The following is a 15,345-nucleotide window of genomic DNA, read 5'->3' as shown; positions in this document are numbered from 1 at the left end:
TGGGTGCATCTGGCTTTCCCTCAGGTTACCGGAGGGGATCGCACCTGGAGTTTGTCATTTTCCAAAGGGTCATGCTCCACGTGGTAGAGCAGGGAGTGAAATCCAAGGTTGGTTGGGATATTGCTCTGATGACAATTGTGAGACCTTTGACAAATAGTGAAGCGTATGAAAAAGACCGTAAAAGAAAAGCAACAGGGAAAAATCAGCCACATCACATATCCCAGCCCCGGCCACTGGGAACTGAGCACGAGGCGGGAGCCTCCTTGGCCTTTGAACCAGAGTTCAGGGGTTTCTTTTCTTCAGAGACCCTGGGCCCTGGCCAGGAGCACTTAGCCCGCAGCAAGGAGCCCTCGGCAAGCCTGCGCTCCCAGAACAAAAGCCGTCCATCTGGGGCATAGGGGAAGGGCGAGGACGCTGCTCAGGGAACCTCCGGTTGCAGGGAGCAGGGCCCCCAGGGGGCCCAGTGCAGGGAGAGCTTCGGAGCCCCTTTCCCGGCGCAGAGGCAGGGAGTCTCCCGGTGGCCCTCAGCTGTGTGTCCTGGTGCCCAAGCTTGTCCCTTCACCGGGGCTCTGGCTGGGCAGGCTGGGATCTGGGCTGTTGAGATGTTGTGGGGTGACTGGTTGGTGCCCCTTGAAAGATACATCCATATCTTAACACCCAGGCACTGTGATCAGGGCCTTATATGCAAATAAAGGGTGTCTGCAGATGTCATTAAATTGAGGATGTGGAGATGAGAGCAACCCAGATGATCCAGGGGGCCCCAAATCCAAGGACAGTTTCCTTAGAAGAGACAGGAGAGAGAGACACAGAGAAGGCCATGTGGAGGCGAAGGTGGGGAGTGCCCAGGGCCCCCAGAAGCTGGAAGAGGTGGGTGGATCCACCCCCAGAGCCACCGGAGGAAGCGCCCGATTCTGGACTCCGGCCTCCAGAACTGGGAGAGTCAATTCCTGTTGGCTGAAGCCAAGCGGTTTGTGGTCATTTGCTGCGGCAGCCCAGGCCACTCCGACACGAGGGAATAGGCTGAGCCCAGAGTCCTCCTGGGCCATGGAGGCAGGGGGCGGGGGGACCTTTGCACCCGCATCATCCAGTAACCTGGTGGGGACTGGGGCGACCTTGGGAAGGCAGCTCCTGTTGTCCTTGGCTCATTTCCAGAGAGTGTGAGCGGCCAACCTGCATGGAGGCTGGGGAGTGTGTGCCTCGGGCAGGGGAAGGGGGCCCCTGGGAGTGCACCCCACTTCCACTGCAAGAGAAAGGGCCATGTGCACTGGGCTGCGGGTCCCACACAAGCTTAGAAATGGGGGAGCAGGGGTCACCGTGTGCACCATTGTTGGCACCGCGTGTGTGGACACATTGGTGGTGGAGGCGGCAGCGCGGTCAGCTGAAGAGCGCGACGCCTAGAGCAAGTGAAGACGACCTTGACAAGCCCACGATCCTGTCGGGAGATCAATCTCCCTTCCAGCATGTTTTCAGTTTTTTACTGTAAAGAACTGCAAACCCATGCCCAACCTAGAGAGGATGACAGGGCACACGGGCCCTCCCGGCGGTCCTCACACGGCCCTCTCTCCTCCTCTCCACTCCCCTTATTGTGGCCCTGAGGCCTGGGGCCTCCTGAGAGAGGTATCTCCATCTCTGCTTTAGGCAGGGGCAGGGCCTCCCGGGCAGCAAACCCGGATTCAGAACCTGGGGAGGAAGAGTTGGGGTCTGGAAGTGGGGAGGTCCCCTTTCCTCCCTGGGTTCCCACCACACCTAGCCCTCTCACAGTCCGGCTGGCCTGGCTGCTCCCCAGCTCTGGTCTCCCGTTCTCCCCTTGCCCTAGGCTGGCCCAGGACGGGCAGGTGAGGTAGCCGGGGGGCAGGGGAGTGGGCGCTTTCCCACAGCTGTGGTGCTGCCCACTGTGCCGTGGGCACCCGCCAGGTCACAGGCAGCCCCCTCCTGGGGGCAGGTTGGCAGCCGGTCTCCCAAGCCACAGCAGGTGCCCAGGGGCCCAGCAGGGAGGTCCAGGGTGACGTCAAGCTGTCTGTGGGAAGTGAGTGAGCAAGTTGGGGAAGGCCAGGCCAAAGGGGGCTGTAAGCCACCTTCACAGCAGGGCAGGGGTCAGGGCGGCACCTCTCCCAGGGGTCAGCTGGGCTGTGGCTGACTGCTCTGCTGGAGTGCCCTTGGAGGGAGGTGGTCTTGGGCTGCATGCAGAGCCTTGGGAATATGCTGCCAGCCTCAGATATCCACTGAGGGTGATGGCGACTGTGAGCTCCTGTGGGGACAGGATGTGTGTCTGGACTGGATGAGCTGTTTTTGCAACTCCTGCCTCCGCCCCCCTGCCAGAAAAGTGCTGTAGATGGGGTGCAGCCAGTGAGTGGGGGAGGGGATGTCCAGGCTGCAGTCCCAGGAGACAGTGGCTCTGGGGAAAGCAGGGGATGGAATGCACGCGGCAATGCCTCAGGTCACGCAGGTTGCTCCTTGACCCTGCAGAAGGGTCGGAGTACTGCGTGGCTCATGGCATGGAGAATGCCTTGTGTCATGTGGGCCAGTTTGTCCAACCCTGCGACCCCTGAGGATTGATGGGACCCTCAGGATGAGGCCGGTAGGGGCAATAGTGTCAGGCCTGGGTGCCAGGAGGGAGCAATGCCCAGGCCTCAGGGCAGGCTGTCTTGGCCTTCAGAAGCCTGAGGCCCTGAAGCTCAGCTGGGCACCTGCCCCAGGAGGTGGCCGTCCACTGCCTGAGTGGCAGCTTCTCTCATGGCTGCAGCTGTGGCTCCGGTTCCTGAATGTCCCAGAGGGGAGCCACCACTGGCCCTCTGCTGATCCTCTTCAGTGTGGCCACTGCCGTTCTCACTGTCCCTCCCAGGACGGCCTCCCTCTCCCTTCACTGACTCTCCCAGTCTGATCACAACTGTTTCTCAACTATCCCTCCCAGTGTGGCCACAGCTATCCTTATGGTGCCCCCTCCAGTGGCTTCACTGTCCTGAGCTGTCACCCAGGCCCCAGCCTCTTTCCAACCTCAAGTCTTGGCTCTGGCTTCAGGCTGCTGCCTGTGTGCTAGAGAATGTCTGTCAGTGTCCGCTGGGATCACGTGCTTCCTTGTTCCTGCTCAAGGAAAGAGAGGCCCCTCCTCTGTGGATAAAATCTGAAAACTTCCCTTTGGTCTGACTGGGCCATTTGGGCCATGGACTGCTCGGATCACTAACAGTTGCCCCAGGAACACATGTGCAGCTGCATTTGAACCAATCAGGAGCCACCTGTGGATTTGGGGATGGGAGTCACCATGCCCTGAGCCACGTGGGGGAGGGACGGAGGCTGGAACAAAAAGGGGCTTCTAGCCGGGCATGGTGGCTCATGCCTGTAATCTCACCACTTTGGGAGGCTGAGGCAGGAGGACTGCTTGAGATCAGGAGTTTGAGATCAGCCTGGGCAACACGGTGAGACCCCATCTCTACAAAACATAAAAAAGTTTTGGCTGGGCACAGTGGCATGCACCTGTAGTCCAAGCTACTTGGGAAGCTGAAGTGGGAGGATCACTGGAACCCAGGAGTTTGAGGCTGCAGTGAGCTATTATGGCCCCACTGCACTCCAGCCTGGGCAGCAGAGCGAGACCCCGACTCTAAAACAAGCAGGAGTCCACTGAGGAAAAAAGAGGGGGAATGGCTGCTGGGAGGGCAGCCAGCAGTGTCTAGTCTCCAGACATTCCTTCAGGTGATAGGGACCAAAGCCAGGAGGGTCACCAAGGGTAAGGAGCTGAAGAGTCACCCAGCCTTGCCAAGACTTCCTGGCAGAGGAGAAGGCTTAGCCATCTACTGGCCCGGAGGCTGAGCTGGAGCGTGGCTGTGCCTGGCCTCTTGGCTGGCCTCCCCAGCCTCAGTGCCTGGCATGTCCCCACCTGGATGCACCTGCTTTTTTGGTATTTGCACTTGGATGCGCCAATGCACACATCCAAAACTGAGCTTGTGATCTCGTGCCAGGGCTAGCGCTCTTACCAAGTCCCCAGCTGCAGTGAATGGAACACGCCTGTGTCAAAGGCCAGAAAGTGGGGATACATCCCTTGCCCACCCTCCACCTCCCATCATTCACGGTGTCTGGTTAGTTCTCTGCACGTTTTAGGTCTGTTAAACGGACCCTCTCTATCTGCTCCATGACACTGTCCTTGATGTCATCTAGGCTAGTTATCTCTCACAGGACAACTCCAGCCACCCTTAGCTAGTCTTACTGCATCCACTCTGGTCCCCAAATAATTTCTCCACAAAGAAACCAGAGATAACTCTTTAGAATGCAATGAGTTCGTGTCACTCACACAAATACATGTCTGTGCGTGCATGTGCAGCACTGGCTTCACATCTGTCAGTGAGTTCTCAGCTTTTTCAGGATGAAGATGAAACCCCTCTGAGGTCCATGAGGTCTGCACTGTCTGGCCTCCGCAGCATTGGTGCGTGGCATCCCCAACCCTGCAGTCACACCGACCTTTCAGCCCAGTACTCTCCATGTCCCTTCCAGCTCCAGGACCTTTGCACATGCAATTCTCTCACCTGATGGGGAGCTTCCCTCCCAAAAGAGGAGTGGAAAATGTCTGGGCTTTCCCAGCTTCCCTTGTAGCTATGGCATGGGCACCTAACCCAGGCTCTACCAATCAGATACACCCACTACCCACTGAGTGTGAGGCCCGAGGTACGCCTGTGGGATACCCTCTAGCTGGTTTTCCCTGGGCTTCCATCAGCCAGTCTGTTCCTGTTATGTGCAACTGAGAACCCTGAGGGACTAGCTCTCCGCCGATGCCGTCGAATCTCCCGCTGCTTTAAATGCTCCCCTCCCCGGGCTCAGGATGCCACTGGCCCTTGGTTTGCTTCTCAGAACTTGAGCAGCTCTCTGCAGAGTCCTTTTTTGACTCTTCTTACTTCATCTTTCCTCTAAGATTGGTGTCTGTTCATGGTTATGAATATTTAGAGGCTTCATATTACTTGCGGGATTGATGGCCCACCAGGCAATGCCTCCCTGGGTGACTTTTGGTGCCATTTACTAAGACAATGCTGCTCAGAAGAGTAGGCTTGGAGGAAATCTCACCGGCCACTGTAGACTGCTGGGCATTAAGGGGATATTAGAGTATTAGTTATCTATTGTTACATAACAAATTACTCCCAATGGCTTAGCTGAGGGGTTCTGGGTTAGGGTCACTCATGAGGCAACAGTGAAACTTTCATCCAGGGCAGCAGCCTCTGAGACTTAATTGGGGCTGAGGGATCCACTTCCAGGCTTACTCACGTGGCTACATGGCTGTTGGCAAGTAGCTCAGTTCCTCAGCACGTGGGCCTCTCCATAGGGCTGCTCATAGCAGGGCTTCCTGCAAAACAGTGATCTATTTTGGGGGGTGAGGGAGAGAGAGAGAGTGAGAGAGGCAGGGGGATCTATGTGTGTGTGGGGAGACAGAGTGAAGGGTGGGGAAAGGGAGAGGGAGGGAGGAAAGGGCGGGGGAGGAAAGGAGAAAGGGGAAACAAGTGCAAGAAGGTAAGAGAGAGCACCCAAGACACACGCTGCCTTCTCTGAGAAGCCACGCTTGCCAGTTACAGCCCACAGATTCTGCTGAACTCTTTGTTACTAAGTCTAGACTCCACTCAAAGGGAGAGGGATCCAGCTACACCTCTTGAAAGGGGAGTATCACAGAGTTTGTGGACGTATTCTTCAAATCCTCTTTTTAGTCACCTATGATAACTGCATCAGGTCCCATGAATGAGAGGATGGGTTGGAGAGGCGACAACACTTGAAGCAAAGTGGGGGTTAGAGCCTTAGTTATCTATCACTACATAACAAATTACTCCTGGTGGCTTAGCTGGGAGGTTCCGGCTTAGGGTCACTCACAAGGCGACAGCGAAACTGTCATCCGGGGCATCTTGTTAAAACTTGCCATAGTGTTGGCCCCAGGGATCTTGTTAAAACTTAAGTCAGGTTCTGCCTTCGGCAATGGTGGAGTCACTCCTATCAGACCAACCCTCCCACAGATGACATCTATGAAACCAGGATGAAATACTAACAACAAAACCTTCTGATGGCATGAGGGACTAAGCAGTAGAGGCAGAAACCATAGGGGGTTAACACCTCGAAGAAGAGACTGGCACTAGGTGAGTTTCTTACATGTGAGCATGGGCCACAGAGGACACCGTGCTGGGTGACCAAAACTCAGAGACTCAGAGAGTAGACTTTGGGATGGCCACGGGAGAGGGAAAGCATGAGGGGTATCACCTGGGAGCAGAGAAGCACCATGTGGAGGAGCCCCGTATTTGGCCTGTACACTTGGCCCAAATCTCTGGCTGACCCCAGGGCTATTAATACACAAGGCAGAGTCCAAGAAAAGAACTGAGCAGAGGTTTCAGCTGATGCCCAATACCGTGGAAACGGAGTCTGGAGATTGCAGTTGATACCCAACACAGGGGAGACTTAGTGTGAGTTTAGCTAGTTTAGTTGTCTACTAGGACAACAAACCACCACCGCCACCACCACCACCACCACAACAACAATAACAAACAATGACTCATCTTCGGAGAAATATAACAGAAACCAAGAAGCCAAAGCTACTAGAACTCATTATGGACAGTGTCTAGGATATAATGCTAGATTACTACAAGAAACAAGAATTGTCCTGATACTCAAGGAAAAAAGCATTCAAGAGAATCCAACCTCTGAGATGACCCTAGTAATTCACAATATTAAAAAAATATATATTCTTAAGGAGATAAAGCACACTTCTGCCTGTAATCCCAGCACTTTGGGAGGCTGAGGTGGGTGGATTGCTTGAGCCTAGGAGTTTGAGGCCAGCCTGGGCAATATGGTGAAACTCTGTCTCTACAAAACATACAAAAAATTTAGCTGGGCATTGTGACGTGCACCTGTAGTCCCAGCTACTTGGGAGGCTGAGGTGGGAGGATTGCTTGAGCCTGGGAGGTGGAGGTTGCAATGAGCCATAATCACACCATTGCACTCCAGCCTAGGCAACAGAGTGACACTGTGTAAAAAAAAAAAAAAAAAGAAGCATGCTTCTAATACTTTATTAATTTATTTATTTTGAGGCAGAGTTTTGCTCTGTTACTCAGGCTGGAGTGCAGTGGTGTGATCATGGCTCACTGCAACCTCCACCTCCCAGGCTCAAGCAATCCTCCCATCTCAGCCTCCCAGGTAGCTGGGATTACAGGCATGTGCCACCACATCCAGCTAATTTTTGTATTTTTTTGTAGAGATGGGGTTTCTCCATGTTGCCCAGGCTGATCTCAAACTCCTGACCTCAAGCAATCTGCTCACTTCAGCCTCCCAAAGTGCTGGGATTACAGGTGTGAGCCACCATGCCCAGCCACCTAACATTTTTTTTTAAACCCATCTCACTGCTCACTGATTATGAATTTTTTCAAATAGGAAATTTCAGAAGAGAAATAGAAACTATAGATGTTCCTTGACTTACTGTGGTTAAGTCCTGACAAACCAGTAGTAAGTCAAAAATATGGTAATTTGAAAATGCATTTAATGTCCCGATAAACCCAGATGCTCCTTGACTTAGGTTGGGGTGATGTCCCAGTAAAGCCAGTGTAAAGTTGAAAAATCATAAGTCAAACCGTCATAAATCAAGGACTGTGTAAGTTGCAAGTGTAAGTAAAGAACCAAGGGTAAGTTCTGAACTGAAAAACAACATTGGAAGTAAAATCTTCACTGGATGATCTTAATAACATTGTAGATGACAGGTGAGTTGCAAACTTACAGATAAATAGAAATAATCTTTTCTGAAAAACCAAGAGGAAAAAATGAAAAGGGCGCCTCAGTGAGCTGTGGGACAATATATAGAGGTCTAATGAATGTGTATATGGACTCCTAGGAGAGAAGGGAGAGAATGGGGAAGAAAAACTACTCGAAGAAATAATGACTGAAATTTCCAAAATTTGGAGATAGACATAATTTACAGATTCAAGGAGCTCAGTGAATTCCAAGGAAGATAAATACAAAGAAAAAACACGTGTAGGCACATTGCAGTCAAAGTACCGAAAACAAAGAGTAATGAGTGAATTGTGAAAACAGTAAAATGCAACTCGAAGAAGAAGAGAACATTCACAAGTTCTACTGAATTCTCATCAGAAGTAATGGAAACCAAGAGAGAATGGAACAGGATCTTTAAAGTGGTGAGAGAGAAGAAACAATCCTTTCAACTCAGAACTCTGTATCTATATCCAGGGAAAATACTCCTAAGAATGAAGGTGAAATAAGGATGTTTCGAGATACATGAAAGCTAAGAGAATTCATCAACAGACTTGCATTAAAATAAATGCTACAGAAAGACTTTCGATCTTAAGGAAAAGAAGGAAATCTCGATCTTTGGGTAGAAATGAATAACAAAATATGTGGGTAAATATCAAGGAATATTTATTTTATCTTTATAAGTTATTTATAATACACATGACAGTTTAAGGTAAAATTATAAATAATGTATTATAGGGTTTATAACATGTAGATATATATATGACAACTATAGCATAAAGGACGGGGTGCAGGGGGCAGTAATCTGTATAATGAAAATGGTCTTAAATTTAGGTGATGTGGTACAATGTAAACTGTAAGTAGAGAGTGAAAAGTAAAGGATATATATAGGAATCCCTAGAGCAACCACTAGAAAACAATGCAAAATGTTATTGCTGAAAAGGTAAAATAAAAGGTAATAATGATACAAGGATCAATTAATCAGGAACACATCGAATTCATACATATGTTTGCACCCAATAACAGAGCTTCAGAGCTTCAAAATACATAAAACAAAAGTTGACAGAATAAAGACAGAAATCGGCATCTTCACAATTATAATTGGAGATTTTAACACTCCTGCCCCAGTCATTGTTACTGCTAGAAAAGGGATCAATAAAAACATAGGGCCTGTAATCCCAGCACTTTGGGAGGCCGAGGCGGGCGGATCACAAGGTCAAGAGATGGAGACCATCCTGGTCAACATGGTGAAACCCCGTCTCTACTAAAAATACCAAAATTAGCTGGGCGTGGTAGTGCGCACCTGTAGTCCCAGCTACTCGGGAGGCTGAGGCAGGAGAATCGCTTGTACCCGGGAGGCGGAGGTTGCAGTGAGCCGAAATTGCGCCACTGCAGCCTGGCAACAGAGCGAGTCTCAAAAAAAAAAAAAAAAAAAATCCAGCCTGGCGACAGAACAAGACTCAGTCTAAAAAAACAAAAACAAAAACAAAACAAAACAAAAACCAAATAAACAAAAAACAAAACAAAACAAAACAAAACATAGGATCTTTTTATGACATTACCAAGCACATTGGAAAGCAAACAGTGGAAAAAATTGGACCGATTTACCGCAATGAACTTTCGCTTTGCAAATGTACTCCGCCGATCCTCGTGGGCAGGCCTTTCCATTGGCGGAGGGTCAATCGGTGTGCCTGCCGCTTCTGGGCTTCGAGCCTTTCCACCTTTTGATTCACGTGTAGTCGTCATGGTAACAACAGTGCATTCCCACGTGCTCCTCTCTTGTGCTCTCCCTATCCAATCATTTGCCTTGCATAGCGACACCAGTCTGGAACTTTCTTTCGGAACTCCCTGTGGCTTCCGGGAGAACCAGGGGTTTCTGGGAGCCCGGGTGACTGTTGGCGCCAAGTGCCTCAGAGAGCCACACGCTTCCACGCTGCGGAGCTGAGGTGATCTCTTCAGACCCTTCGGAGAGACCCAGATATCTGACTTCCCACTGAGAGACCCGGAATTGCCCAGAGTTTGAGAAAGTGAGTAGACCGCGGGGGTTTGCCAGGACCCAGGCCCAGGAGGTGTTGCCGGAGCTCAGGATGGCGGCCCAGGAGGTTCCCGGGGTGTGGGGGGGGGGCAGGCGGTGTGGCAGGCCGTGAGGAGCCGGCTGCGGAGCTGGGGGGCGGCGGTCCCGCCTGGCCCGGTTTAGGTGCGGCGTGGCTGTCACGGTGGGCTTCCCGCCAAGGAAGGCCCCCTCGGGAGGGCGGTTGGAAGGAGGGCTGAGGGGAGGGGTTCCTCAGTGCGGGGTGGCCAGAGGAGGACCCCTGGGTCCCTGGGCGGAGAGGGTCGCCAAGCACGCGGGGTAGAAGAGGCAAGAGGGAGGGTGACTCGCCCAGTGCTGGGGTGAGGGGGTGTCGAGGGCTTCCGGCTGTGGGGCTGGGGGTCGGGAGGGGGCTCCCTGGGGTGGGAGGGCAAGGGGGCTGTGGAGCGCCACGTGGGAGAGCAGGCTGGCGGGCTCCAAGCGTGGGGCGGGACGGAGGGCGGCCCAGCCTGGGTCTGAGGCGCGAGAGGGGACGGCCCCTGGCGGGTGCCGTGGTCAGGTCCTAGGGCTGGGTGGGTGAGGGCAGAGGTGATTCCTAAGCCCGGTGGAGGGCCGACCAGAGCGGAGGGTGCCCTGCCTCTGTGGGCTATGGGGGCTCCTGACTTGGGGGTGGAGGGCGGGATTGTCGGGCCCCTGGCTGTGGGGAGGCCACAGAGGGAGGCTCATGTCTAAGCACGTGGGACGCCCTGCTGCCCGGGGCTAGACTGGAGTGCTGCCAGCTGGGTTTAGGGGGCGCCCAGTGTGGAAGGGCACGTTGGGGGCAGGAAGGGACTGTCCCCGGTGTGCGGTGGGGGATGGGCTGGAAGGAGGGCCAATGCCTAAGGGTGCACGGGGTGCGGAGCCGGAGGCTGCCTGGCGGCCAGTGGTACAGGCGACGGTGAGCGCCCCCTGGAGGCTGTCGGCGTGGCAGTGCCGTGAGGAGCCTGGCCCCCTACAGGTGGAATTGGAAAGGCTTCAGGTCGCCTCTTCGTGGGGAATGGCGACAGGAGTTGCAGTGGTTGGAGGGGGCAGACCTTGGCCTCTGTAGAAAATACGGATTCATGACAAGGGCAAATTGTACATTCACTTAGATAGACCATATGTCGAGCCATTTAAAAATCTTCAGAAACTGAAAAGGATCGCACGTTTTCATAAGTTCTCTGATCACAGTGGAATTTTATTTGAAATTAATAACAATAACATATGTCTAGATATTTTGAAATCCATGGGTCAAAGATGAAATCACCAAGGAACTTACAAGATATTTCAAACTGCACAAAACATTCAACTTACCCAAATTACTAGCCATTTGGAAGGAAGGAAGTGGTCAGAGGAAAATTTCTTGCTTTCAGTGCTCATAACAGAAAAAAAGAACATAAAATCAATGGCCGAACAGTCCATTTAAAGAAGCTCGAAAAAGAGCAAAAGTAAACACAGAATGAGTCAAATAAAGAAATAACAGAGATAAAAAGGACAATCAGTAAACCCCGATATTAGGCTTTTTAAAGAGTACCAAAATTAATGAACCCTAGCAAGACTAATTAAGATGAGAGGGGGCTAGGCACAGTGGTTTATGCCTGTAATCCCAGCACTTTGAGAGGCTGAGGCGGGAGGATTGCCTGAGCCCAGGAGTTCAAGGCCAGCCTAGGCAACATAGTGAGACCCCTTCTCTACAAAAAGTACAAAAAATTTAACCACGTGTGTTAGCATGTGCCGGTAGTCCCAGCTACTCAGGAGGCTGAGGTGGGAGGATCGCTTGAGCTCAGGGGGTCGAGGCTGCACTGAGCCGAGATCAAGCTGCTGCACTCCAGCCTGGGTGACAGAGTGAGACCCTGTCTCAAAAAACAAACAAACAAACAAAAAACAACACACACACACACACACACACACACAACACACAAGAGAGAATGAACACTAATCAATATCAGGAATGAAGGACAGGATATTACTACAGATCATATAGACATTAAAAAGATAAAGAGGGAATATTGTGAACAAGTTTTTATCAAAAGTTTTGAAAACTGAGATAAGCTTCCCAATTCCTTTGTGGGGGAAAAAAAGTAACTTACTACAAATGGCACCAAGTAGCATAGAAAATGTGACTAGCCCTGTATCTTGCAAATAAATTTAATTTTGCCATCAAAATTTCACTAAAATCAAAGCGACAAAACAAGGAGGCAGAGGAACTCCAGCCCTGCCCCCTCACCCCCACACACGTAGGGGCAGATGAGTGGTGGGAGTGAGTGTTTGGCACAAACAAGCTTCTCTCTTTGCACTCACAGGCTGTGTCGGAGACTGCAACAGTCAGCACACATTCCTGATTGATCAGGCTCCCTCCCTCAAGTCCTCTGCGATGGCTCTGGCGATGCTTCGGGACTGGTGCAGGTGGATGGGTGCGAACGCAGAGCGCTCCCTGCTCATCCTGGGTATCCCTGATGACTGCAAGGAACATGAGTTCCAGGAGGCCGTGCGGGCTGCCCTGTCGCCCCTGGGCAGGTACCGAGTACTCACCAAGCACTTCAGAAAGGAGCTCGGGGCCAAGGCAGCCTTGGTGGAGTTCGCTGAGTATTTAAACCGAAGCTTGATTCCCCATCAAATACCAGGCAATGGGGGGCCCTGGAAAGTGATCTTCCTGCCCCAAGTACCTGTTATTGAGTTTCAGGATATGCCCAGTTTTCCTGCACAGCCCCAGGGTCAAGCAGTAGCAAAAGCTGCAGGTGAGGGAGGAGGCGCAGGTGAGGCAGGAGGTGTAGGTGAGGTAGGAGCAGCAGGTGAGGCAGGAGGCACAGGTGAGGCAGGAGCAACAGGTGAGGCAGGAGCAGCAGGTGAGGCAGGAGGCGCAGGTGAGGCAGGAGGTGTAGGTGAGGCAGGAGCAGCAGGTGAGGCAGGAGGCGCAGGTGAGGCAGGAGCAGCAGGTGAGGGAGGAGCAGCAGGTGAGGCAGGAGGCGCAGGTGAGGCAGGAGGTGTAGGTGAGGCAGGAGCAGCAGGTGAGGCAGGAGGCGCAGGTGAGGCAGGAGGTGTAGGTGAGGCAGGAGCAGCAGGTGAGGCAGGAGGCGCAGGTGAGGCAGGAGCAGCAGGTGAGGCAGGAGGCGCAGGTGAGGGAAGAGCAGCAGGTGAGGCAGGAGCAGCAGGTGAGGCAGGAGCTGTGGGTGAGGCAGGAGCAGCAGGTGAGGCAGGAGCTGTGGGTGAGGCAGGAGCTGCAGGTGAGGCAGGAGCTGTGGGTGAAGCAGGAGGGACAAATGTAACAAAAGCCTGGGTCCAGCCTTGGCGCTGCACCCTACAGCCTGTGCTGGAAAACAGGGCCTACCGGGAATTGAGACCCTTTTCCAGGAGGGAGCAGCCAGGCTGCGAGGAAGAGTCCTTTGAGAGCTGGGTGGAGCATGCCAAGGATATGCTGCAGCTGTGGTGCCATGCGTCGGAAAGGGAGAAGAAGAGGTGGCTGCTGGAGAGCTTGGGCGGCCCGGCCCTGGAAGTCGTGAGCGGCCTCCTGGAGGAAGATACCAACTTGTCCGCGCTGGACTGCCTGGCGGCGCTGGGGCAGGTATTTAGGAACCAGGACACTCGAATGACTTCGAGGCTGAAGTTCCTGACCTGCACGCAGGGGCCCCAGGAGGGGCTGTTTGCCTTCGTGGTGCGCCTGGAAGGCCTGCTGCAGAGGGCTGTGGAGAAGGGGGCCGTCTGCCCAGCCTTGGCCAATTACCTGCGACTACAGCAGGTGCTGTCTTGGGCCCGCCCCAGCGAGGCACTCCAGGATACCCTGAGAGGGATGCAGCTGGAGAAGAGGCCACCTGGCTTCCTGGGGCTGCTCCGGCTCATCCGGGAGATGGAGGCATGGGCAGCCTTCCCAGCGAGGAGCCAGCAGGGTGTGGCCTGGGCAGCGGCCCCAGTGGAGAGTGAAGACCCAGCTGCTGCCCAGGCCTCCCCAGCCCAGGGGAATGCCAGCGAGGCTGGTCCCGGAGCAGAAGATGCTGCCGAGGCCGCTTCTGCCACCAAAGAGGCTGCAAGGGGAGCCCCTGCCGCTGGGGAAGGTGAAAGTGCCCCTGCAGGCCCCGAAGGCCTAGGTCAGGCAAGGCCCATAGAGGTCCCCTGGGGCTCCTCCCCAGCCCGGATGAGCAGTGCTGTCTGGGTGTTCCCAAGAGGTCTTAGCTGGGGTCCAGAGGGCCTCATCCAGGTGAGAGGCCAGGAAGCCAGGAAACCCCCACTGGAGGGGCTCCAGACCATCTTGGAGGAGCCGGAAAACGAGGATGAGGATGGGGCCGGGGACGAGGGCCAGCCCAAGTCCTCCCAGGGCAAATAGGCTCCTAGGGCCCCGGGGCCTCCTCTCCTCTCAGGCAGCAGCGCCTTGGAGGCAGACAGAGGCCAGGCCAGGGCCAGTCCCTCACCCCACATTCAGGAGTAAGGGCCCCCCACCTCCCCCAAGGGGCTCTGGCCACCACCCCCATTCCTTCCCTGTGACCCGGATGACCACGTTTGATACAAAATGGGGTGGGGAGAGGCGCCCCCCCGCTCCCTTGCACCCAGCACACCCAGCCCCAGCCCCAAACCCTGCCGCCACGGGGGGCTGGCCTGGAGGGAGCCCTGAGTGGGCAGCTGTGGCCTGGGTGGGGGCACCTGAAGATGTCTGCCCCCAACCCAGGCCGTGAGTTGGGAGAGACAGGGGGAAAGAGGCCCTCTCAAGGTTGCCAGCTGCCTGGGTCTCTCAAGAGGGGTCAGCCCACTTGCCATCTCCGGGGCAGGCTGCCCTCTGTTCCGGGAAGCTCACCCTCACCTGTGTGACCCACGCGCCCAGCAGACGCCCACCCACTGCTAGCCATCATTTCTGCGAAAAGTCATGTACTGTGCGCCCATGCAGGCGGCCACCTCTGGGCCCGGGGCACGTGCTGTGAGCTTCCTGCGAGCCCAGGCTCTGCTTGCTGCTGTCCTGCATCGTGAGCACCACCTCTGCTTTCCTGGCGTAGATCTAGGCCAGGGGCTGCTTGTTCTCGTGGAGCTGCGTGTGTTCTTCTCTGAGCAGCCTCTCCCCGGAGACCCCCAGCGCAGTCCCAGGAGATGGCGGGAAGGAGGCACCAGGGCACGGCGGACGCTCACCCCGTGACCACGATGGTGACCCTGACTGCGGGAAGAAGAACCGGACCCGGGGCACAGCGGGGCTGCGTGAGGATCCACAAGAACTATGCTTTGGCGTTTCACCCCTGTTGTTACTTGTGACTCAGTTTCTTCAGCCTGGTGGGGTGTTCCCTGGTGTTTCCCAGTGTTCTGTGACTGTCCTGTGAAGGCCATAGGGATGGGCTCAGGAGGGGGCTCCCTGAAGCCAGTGGACACTGCCAGAGTCCACTGTCCTGGCAAAAGGCAGACCCTGGGGCCCTCGGGAAGGAGGGAGGTGGCAGCGGGGGCAGCAGCGGGAGGGGGAGCAGATGACGTGCCTTGCCAGGAACCCCAGGAGGAGGGGGCCTGGGACCTGTGTCCTGTGGTGGCTGTTTACAGTTTCTCTCTGTATTGTGGTTTCCTTCTCTTCAATAGTTTCAGTATATGTTTCTCTTCAATAAATTTCATTCCGTGTTCCA

At 54.2% G+C, this 15,345-nt stretch overlaps 1 protein-coding gene, 1 long non-coding RNA gene and 1 pseudogene across 5 annotated transcripts in view; 2 read left to right on the top strand and 1 right to left on the bottom strand.

Moving 5' to 3' along the window:
• PNMA6E (PNMA family member 6E) overlaps positions 1 to 15,345 on the top strand; it is an 18,366-nt gene extending 3,021 nt beyond the window's left edge. The window contains exons 1-3 of one of the 4 annotated variants that reach the window (NM_001351293.2): positions 9,634 to 9,740; positions 12,064 to 12,277; positions 13,112 to 15,345. In NM_001351293.2, coding sequence (NP_001338222.1) covers positions 12,135 to 12,277; positions 13,112 to 14,078 — 1,110 coding nt within the window. In that variant the 5' untranslated portion in view covers positions 9,634 to 9,740; positions 12,064 to 12,134 and the 3' untranslated portion in view covers positions 14,079 to 15,345. Of the gene's footprint in view, positions 1 to 9,633; positions 9,741 to 10,287; positions 10,315 to 12,063 lie in introns of those variants that run through there. The other 3 variants (NM_001351294.2, NM_001367770.1, XM_047442374.1) reach the window with 3 other exon arrangements.
• LOC105373379 (uncharacterized) lies at positions 4,562 to 9,534 on the bottom strand. Its single transcript, XR_938538.3, has 3 exons — positions 9,322 to 9,534; positions 5,245 to 5,338; positions 4,562 to 5,059 (listed from the first exon to the last, which is right to left on the bottom strand). It is a non-coding gene; the product is annotated as an uncharacterized LOC105373379 (long non-coding RNA).
• Positions 6,843 to 6,951, top strand: RN7SL667P (RNA, 7SL, cytoplasmic 667, pseudogene; annotated as a pseudogene).

This window comes from Homo sapiens, chromosome X, assembly GCF_000001405.40.
Source record: "Homo sapiens chromosome X, GRCh38.p14 Primary Assembly".
Classification (NCBI taxonomy): domain Eukaryota; kingdom Metazoa; phylum Chordata; class Mammalia; order Primates; family Hominidae; genus Homo; species Homo sapiens.
The sequence above is the reverse complement of the archived record's forward strand: the minus strand, read 5'-3'. Positions and strand labels throughout refer to the sequence as shown.